This window comes from Homo sapiens, chromosome 3 (assembly GCF_000001405.40).
Source record: "Homo sapiens chromosome 3, GRCh38.p14 Primary Assembly".
Lineage (NCBI taxonomy): Eukaryota > Metazoa > Chordata > Mammalia > Primates > Hominidae > Homo > Homo sapiens.
In genome coordinates this window covers 117,570,158-117,579,864 of record NC_000003.12, presented here as the reverse complement: position 1 = coordinate 117,579,864, position 9,707 = coordinate 117,570,158, and positions in this window count along the sequence as shown.

Here is a 9,707-nt window from a genome sequence, read left to right as displayed (position 1 = left end):
CTATCCATTAGGGAAGATTTATATACATCAACTTCCATTCCAGGCTGAAAAGAGGGTTGAGAGCCAGGACAGACATGTCTGAATGGTGTCGATTCACATGTAAGTTGTGATATGTCCCTCTCACCTCCCTCTCCACTCTGTACAGCAGATGACAGCCACTTCTATTAGCTAACATTTCATTCGGTGGACAAAGCTTAGGTAGTAAGACAGGCCATTTTATTCTTCCCTGGACTAGTTATTTTCCGTCATAGAGACTGTATGGCAGTGATATCAGGGCTCTCAGCCACCCCCGACCTCTTTCTTCTTCTCCTTTTTTTTTTTTTTTTTTTATCCAAAGGAACAACATCTGGGTAATTAGAATGATTAGCGTTTTTTTATAGCTAGAATTCTTGAACATTTGTGTTGGCTGAGATAATGGAATTTCCCCTCACATAATCTATCTTCAGCAATGCTGAGAAACATAATTTTCATATTATGAAAGCTCGGTCTTTCCTTTTGGGGTAAAAATCCAAGCTATCTCTGAGCATAGATGAGAAAAAGTGATTTTCTAAATCAACACCTGTCAGAGTAAGTTTCTCTTTCAGAAGTTTTCTGTAAGTTACTCTAATTTTTATCACGGTTCTTAATTGATCCCACTGTTTAGCCAGATATAATTTTGATGTTTACTCCTTGTCCTTTCTATTGAACTTACATTATCCTTCTTATTCTTCATGCCTTCTTAGGAAACACTTCCTTCCAGATAACCCCTAAGCCAGGTTATGTGTTGTTGCTATATGTAGTTGGAACACTGTATTTTTTCCTTATCACTTATATAATTTTTGGTTATTTATTTAGTTATCTATATCTGTAGGTCTATGAGGAGAAGTACATACCTTGTTCATTTTTATATCCCTGTATCCTGCACAAAGCCTAGATCAAATTATGCTTAATAAACATTTATTGAATTAATAAATATCATATTTTTGAATTTGGAAAATTAGTATTTGTAAAATTCCATCATGACACTGACTATGAAGTTCTTTCAAACTATATTCTCTTACCTTCAGTGGGTTAATATATTTCAGAACCCTAGGTCAATTTCAGTACTAGGTATTCAGAGGGCACTCAATGTTGTTAAATTGCACCATGGGAATTATTGTACAGTGTGTATCCAAAATTGGGAAAGGTCAAATCTGGAAAAGTAACCAAGTCTTTTGAAGGTTTAAAAGTAGCCTCATAGTTATATCAAATTTTACTAGGAAGTTATTTTCTATCTGTCTTCTTTTTTCCTCCACTGTGTCTGAAGAAGTTAAACAATTTTGTTATAGGAAACTATTTTTATTATGTTATTCAATGTCTAGTGAGTATTTGTCAAGAGAATGGTTTTAATCAAGAAAAGATACACTTATTCAGGAAATAGACCCCTTTTTTATCTTCCATGAACTATTTGTTGAACTTCAAGGTCAGGATCCAGTACTGATGCTTAGGAAGTCAAATCAGACACTGCTGTGTTAAAGAAAGTATCGAAACTTTTGTTTCATAGCAAGACAGCTGTTCTGCATAAGGGCAGGACAATGAGTGGCAGGATTGGGAGTTATGTGGCAATCCAAATCTTAAAACAAGGCTGACTTCCACTCTAGATAATTAGAGTAAAATCAGATATGTGGGAACAGGATGAACAGGTAAGGAACAGGAACAGGTAAGCAATTCAGATTTTAAAAGAAAAAAAGGCACAAAGAGCTTGCCTTCAAATGAATGAGAGCCTTCACCTGCCTTCCTCTTTGAAGCCCATAGTTACAAATGAATCAGTTATGATTTGGCAACAGATGATGTTTGCTATACGCTGGCATTTGCCATCTAATCTTTTCAGTCATGGAATTCAACCAGAGAAGAATATAACCCATGTAACAAATAATTTGATATCTAGGTCCAGAGAAGATTTTGGCAATTTCAAAGTGCCACTGAATATTCTAAATTTAATATGGCCAATGAGCCTACATTTTAGATCTTATGTTTTCTTGGGAGCTACATTATTCTCATTTTAACACATATTGAGGATCTACAGTCTTCTGATTGCTGAGATACCTACTGGCTCTAGTACCCTTGAGCTAAAGATGATTATATTCTAGTAGAATGGGAACATATGTATACTGTTATGTATACATAAATTTATTTATAAATTTCAATATAGTGTATAAAGAGAATATGGAGAAAAGTACTATACCCTAATGTAAAACTTCATAATAGGCCACTTGAGCATAGCACCTAAACGGGTTTTTTTAAGGATGCGTATGATTTAGCTTTGTGAGGAAGCAGGAGAAGCTAGTCCTGCTAGAGAGAATATTATGAACAGGATATGGAGTGTGTGTGCGTGTGTGTGTGTGTGTGTGTGTGTGTGTGTATGTGGTGGAGTATAGGGTAACTAAAAGTAGCTCCAAAGACTAAAGGGAAAAAAAGGAGAATTAATCAAGGCTTAGCTGATAAAATGGGCTTTCATGCTATATTAATGAACTTGGAATTTATCCCAAGGCAAGGAATTAAGTATGAATAATGTGATGTCATATCTTCATTCAGGTGCCTCTGAGGAGTAGATATATGAAGAAAACAACACAGAATAATAGTCCAATGTAGTAATCTGGATTAGAGAGATAAGGACCTGGAGAAGAGGTTACTATTTTTTTAAGGAGATGTCAGTGTAAGAGAAGTAATAGATTTTGTGCCACCAACAATACAATTATTCTACTGTTATTACTTTTGTGGTTTTTTACAAGATATAAAAAATTTATGTTAAGATAATATATTAGTCTGTTATCTTGTTGTTATAAAGAACTGCCTGAGACTGGGTAATTTATAAAGGAAAGAGGTTTAATTGACTCACAGTTCTTCAGGGTTGGGGAGGCCTCAGAAAACTTACAATCATGGTGGAAGGGGAAGCAAACATGTCCTTCTTTACATAGCATCAGGAAGGAGAAGAATGAGGGAAGTGGGGAAAAGCCCCTTATAAAACCATCAGATCTCATGAGAACTCACTATCACGAGAACAGCATGGGGAGACCACCCCCATGATCTAATCACCTCCCGTGAGGTCCTTCCCCCAACACATGGGTATTACAATTCACATTACAATTCAAGATGAGATTTTGGTGAAGACACAGAGAAAGACCATATCAAATATATTTAGATAAATTGGATGACAGGTATATGTGTTTGTATGTTAGTATGTAAGTTACTAAGGTGTTTGAGGAATTACGTGTTGGGATGCATATGAGAATCAGGTCAAGAACAATAGTTATATTCTGAACTGAAAAAGATGGGCTTGGATCTGTGTGTAAGGAAAGGGATGACAATAGGAATTTGTTTATTTCCTTTGCATAAACTGAGCTCATAGAAACCTTCAGTTGACAGTTACCTGTCTGCATAAGAACCTCTACAAAACAACTTTTAATATTCCTGTGGTATCAGTTTACACTTTTTCTAATATACGGTTAACACTTTTAACTGAGACATGTAGAATTCCCCAAAATTTACTTTTTCTTTAGCATTTGAAGATGTCATTCATAACCCATCTTCCACTATTTTTGTTAAAACTTCAGCTGCCATTCTTTTAGCTGTTTCAATAATTTGGAAACACCTCAGTGTCTATCAATAGACAAATGTATAAAGACAATTATGTATATATACACAATGGAATACTACTTTGCCATAAAAAAGAATACATTCTTGTCATTTGCAGCAACATGGATGGAACTAGAGGTCATTATGATCAGTGAAATAAGCCAGGCACAAAATACAAATATTTCATGTTCTCTCACTCATGTGTGGGAGCTAAAAAAAAGTTGGTCTCATGGAGGTAGAGTAGAAAAATAGTTACTAGAGTCTGGGAATGGTGTGTGAGTGGAGGGGATGAAGAGAAGTTGGTTAACAGGTACAAATATATAGTAAGAATGAATAAATTCTAATGATTAATAGCAGATTAGGGTGACTATAATTAACAAGGTTTTATATATTTCAAAATAGATGGAAGAGAGGACTTAAAGAGCTCCCAGCACATAAAAATTATAAATGTTCAAGGTACCATAAACACTCTGACTTTATCACTGTTCATTCTATGCATGTGAAAAAATAACATGTACCTCATAAATATGTACAAATATTATGTGTCAATAAAAAGTTAAAACACAACAAACAAAACTCCAGCTCTTATTCTTATAGTTGTTCCTGTAAATGCAAGGTGTTATTTTGTCCCCCCTCTAACTTCTTTCACTTTCGGTAGTGTTACTAACAAAACCCAGGTATTCTTTTCTTTGTATTTATCCTACTTGGGGTTTGTATAGCTTCTTAAATCAGTGCCTTGATGTATTTGATCTGATATAAAGAATTCTTTGCCAGTATCTCTTCAAGTATTACTACTGTTTCTGTTATCTCTTATTCTGCTGTATCTGCTGTTAAACTATGTATTGAGTCAACGATTTCAGTTATTACATTTTTAGTTCTAAAATTCCTATTTCATTGTTTCCTATAGATTCCAGTTCATAAGTGAAATTTCCCATCTTGTCACCTATTTTCTGAATATATTTGGCATAGTAATTTTAAACCTATGTCTAATAGTGCCAATATTTATTTTTATCTATGGGCCTGTTTCTAGTGTATTTATATATTTTTTCTTTGTGGTTTTAATATTGCATTCTTTTCACAACTGGTAATTTTTAACCTGGTGCCAGACATTGTCCATGGTAAATTTTAGAGGCTCTGGATAAAATTTTACCTTCCTCCAGTGAAAATTTTGCTTTCCTCTGGAAGACTGATTAGGACACGTTTCTTAAGCATTTTAAATTATTACCTTACTAATCAGACTTTTCAGACATTTTGTTTCTAAGCATTCTTCCCATGAAATTGTAATTTCATGCCCCAGATAGACTGCATATCTGTTTTTGAATGTCTCTATATTTGTGCTTTACACATAAAAAGAGTAAGCATAAAGCTTATTCTTTTTTTATTTAATACATGATTAAGAATGACTGAATAAACAAATTAAGTTAAAAGTTAATTTAGGCCAGGTATGGTGGCTCTTGCCTGTAATCTCAACATTTTGGGAGGCTGAGGTGGGAGGATTGCTTGAGGCCAAAAGTTCAAGACCAGCCTTGGTAACAAAGGGAAACCTCATCTCTACAAAAAATATTTTAAAATTAGCTGGGCCTACTGGTATGCACCAGTAGTCCCAGCTATTCGGGAGGCTGAGGTAGGAGGATCACTTGAGCCCATGAGGTCAAGGCAGCAGTGAGCCGTGTTTGCACCACTGAACTCCAGCCTAGGCAAGAGAAAAAGACCCCATCTCAAACAAAACAAAACAAAACAAAACAAATCAAAACAAGACAAATGTTAATCAGGACAAATAGCTAATGCATGTGGGGCCTAATGCCTAGGTGATGGGTTGATAGGTGCAGCAAACCATCGTGGCACATGTTTACGTATGTAACAAACCTGCATGTTCTGCACATGTATCCCAGAACCTAAAATAAAATAATTTTTTTAAATGTTAATTTAACAACTAAAAAACTCTTAACATTTAACTTTACAACTGTGTTTGCTGAGCAACTTTCAATGCATTATGTATGCAAAATTAGCAACTTATATAAATACATAATAATAATAGCAATACACATTAAAATCATTTAAAAATAATGTTTTTGCCAAAGGTAAAACAACTGAAAAAATAATTCCTTAAAATTGTTTTTAGTGAATTTTTCTTAACTTTTACGTGATATGAAAAAATAATTTTTAACTTAAGTAGTGCCAAATCCTCCTTCAGATATTATTAACACTTGTTCTTTTAAGCACATGACATAATTAATGATGGGTTGAATAATTTTCACAGAATATAATTATAAAATATAAGCAATTTTTATTACATTTTCAAAGTCCAAGTCACATGTGAAAACACCATGGATCAAACGTAAATAACATCCGTAAAGTAGCCATGTTTTAGGTTCATGCAAGCCACCTCTGGTAATATGACTTTGAGATTTAACAATCAATCAAAAGAAGGTCACCCCATCACAGCTAACTATTTGGCTGAGATTTGTAGGACTTACCTTGCATATATGTTGTCTATCTCCTGTAAGCTTATTGTCAATGTTGCTCGTGTGATACCCAAGAAAACCCAGTGAAATAAAATAAGTATTAAGGAATATGATCCTGTTGTGTAGAGTTGAGCTTTGGAGGGCTACAAACTAAACATCCAGGTTTTTTTTTTCTTACTATCCAAGGACCAATCTTCACTCCCTTGGAAGCAATATCACTCCTATTGAGAATACATGAATTGGGAATTGATCAGCTTGACCCAGTAAGGCACTGAGGTGATCTGAGGCTAATTTTCAGTCTTTGTGAGTGCTCTTATTCCTAGGCTGTAGATTTTCAGAGTTCTCAACAAAAAGCCTGGACTGTGTATCCTTCCTTAGCTGGCCCTGAACTCCAATTTTTGTCTTCTCAGTCCTTGGAGACTATTGAAGGCTCTGCTTAATTTTGTTCTCTCTTAGTTGCCCTTTTTTTTTTCTTTCTTTCTTTTGGCCTCTAGGTCTCTTGCCTACTACTGCTTAGAAAACTTAAAATACAAAAAGTGGCATATAAAGATGGGTTCACTTGTCTGAGGTTCCCTTTTTTCTTCCATCTCAGCCCCCTCATATCCTGACTACCTTGCTAATCCTGAACTTCAATTTTCATTTCCCCAGTCTCACAAGCCTGTCAAAAGTTTTGAGCTCCTACTTTCTGCTTCTGCTTTCAATCCTGCACAGCTTACAAACTGGCAAATGCTGTGAGGGGAAAAGCAGTGGAGGATTTACTTCAATGTGTTTTCCTTCTTGGAATCTTGGATCATTATATTCTGGCTGCTGTGGTTGCTTTCTGATCCATTCATATGTGTTTTGTATTTTATGGAGCTTTTATGTTTGTTCACAGTGGGAGTGTTGGTCTGTTACAAGGTATTTTGTCATAGCTGGAAGCAGAAGTCTCAATCCAATGATGTGGATTAGTTGGAAGTTTGATTAGCTTCTGGCTGAGGAGACTGAGAAGAGCTCTAGGCAGATGTTGTACGAAAAAAGTGTGAATGTCGAGATGACCATTACAATTCTAAAGTTTATTTTTTCTCTTTAAGTAAGCCTCAAATATGTTTCATGCCATCCTTATTCTAATGAAGATAAATGATAAAATGGAATTAATGTAAAATGTTTGCTTCATACACACCTTTAAAAACATATTGTGTATCTGAAGCACTACTATTCTGTGTCTGGGCAGACTGATTGCTCTATTTTCATAACCAAACCTGGAAGGCTAAAGTTTTCTTGAATTACCTGAAGTGGAACATTAAGAGACAGTATGTCTACATGTGACATCTTTTTGCTAATAATTTAGGATTGGTTTCTACACTAAGATTTTTCTAATTCGACCACCTATTAGTTGCCTTTTTTCTTTTCTTTTATGCCTCTGGTCTAATTCTTTGTCAGCAGTCATAAATATAAGGTTCATTTTAGGATTTTTTTTTGCCCCATCTTTATCCATGGCTAAAATACAACATTGGACTGTTCCTCAAGTCGCTCCCAGGTGCTACTATAAAACTATTTCATCTCCTCACTTCCTAATACTGTTTTGCACTAGTTCTTTGGAAGGAGGAGGTAGAATGTTTTCCTGGTCAGTCATAAAAGTATAATGCTTTTGCCTTCTCTTTGAGCCTGATTATAGCAGCACCTAATTCCACAGATGAAATGTGATCTTGTGTATTGTTATGAAAAGCATTGAAAATAGCTCTTTGGATTTCTCTTATTTGAACTGTCCCATGAAATAAATCAAGAGTCCAACTTATATTTTTAGTCAATACTTTGGTACTTTTACAGTAGCTATTATCTATGTGCATGTTTAATTAGAATATTGTAATAGTTTTATTAAATAAAGCCATTGAGTTGATAGACTTCTCTCCAGATTCTTTACTAAATACTGTTATTATTTATTCATCCATTCAACATTATAAATTAAGCCATTCTGCCTCTAACCCCAGCACTTTGAGAGGTCGAGGCAGGAGGATCATTTAAGGTCAGGAGTTCGAGACCAGCCTGGCCAACATGGTGAAACCCTGTCTCCACTAAAAATACAAAAATTAGTGAGGCATGGTTGTGCATGCCTGTAATCCCAGCCACTCGGGAGCCTGAGGCAGGAGAATTGCTTGAACTCGGGAGGCAGAGTTTGCAGTTAGCCAAGATCGCACCACTGCACTCCAGCCTGGGTGACAGAGACTCCATCTCAAAAAGAAAAAAAAGGCTATCTTCTTTTTTAATAGTTTCTATTCTAGCAGAATGAATGCAATAACAAAGATACCGCTCTTGGAGTAAGGAAGACCAAAGACCTAACTACCTGGGGAAACTGGATAAGGCTGCAAAAAGAAGGCAGGACATGTTTCTACTGGGATTGTCCTCTTATAAGGGAAACAGATTAAGGAGAAAGATAGGAGGTCAAGGAAAGGATCTAATTTTAAAGACTGAGTGTTTTTCTAGTTTTTGGACCAAATGGGACCACTTCTGCTTCTGTTTCCTGTGCCTGCTCTGCCTTTTGGAGTTTGGGTCCCTGTGGGAAAATGATGAGCCAAGGACAAAGGCTATCCTTACAAAAACAGAAAGATCAAAGACCAAAAAAAATAATAATGGGTTGAGGAGCCTGTTGTTACATGATTCTTTGGAGACATCTGAGAGTAAAACTAACCAGCCTGCAGGATGGGATCAAACCTCTTGTGAAATATTCATTCCCCTAGGTCACAATTGAACAGCAAGGATTTTTGAGAAGAATGTGTGTGTGTAGTGGAAATATTGATAAAAATTGGGTCTAATTCTTTGTTGTCCAAAGAGACTTTATAGCTCTTCTCATTAACACTTGCTTTCTACCATTCCCTTGGATGTTGAAACACAAAGGTTGAGTTTGAACCCCAAAGTTAATTTTATTATAGGAAAACGGTCTTTTACATGAAAACATTGAGAGGGAAAAATGAAAGGAATATCACCTATTTATACATTTTTCTACTTTAATCACAATTAAAAGGGAATTTAAGTCTCCATATGTGCGAAAGACTAGATTATTTTATTTTATTATTTATTTTATTTTTCAGACAGTCTTGCTCTGTTGCCCAGGCTAGTGGTGCAATCTCAGCTCACCACAACCTCCGCCTCCCAGTTCAAGTGATTCTCTTGCCTCAGCCTGCCAAGAAGCTGAAATCACAGGTGTGCACCACCACGCCTGGTTAATTTTTGTATTTTTAGTAGAGACAGGGTTTCTCCATGTTGGCCAGGCTGGTCTCAAACTCCTGACCTCAAGAGATTCTCCTGCCTCAGCCTCCCAAAGTGCTGGGATTACAGGCATGAGCCACTGTGCTTGGCTTTTATTATTTATTTATTTATTTATTTATTTATTTATTTATTTTGAGGCCAGGTCTTACTCTGTTTCCCAGGCTGTAGTTCAATGGCATGGTAGGCTTACTACAGCCTCAAACTCCTGGGCTCAAATGATTCTCCTGCCTCAGGCTCTGGAGTAGCTAGAACTACAGGCATGCACTACCACCACGCCTGGCTAATTTTTTTATTTTGTTAGAGACGGGGTCTCACTCTGTTGCCTAGGCTGGGACTGTAGAATTTTTTAAAATACGTATGCTTACAGCTATTCAAATTTGTAGAGATGCACAAAACTTTGCTTCC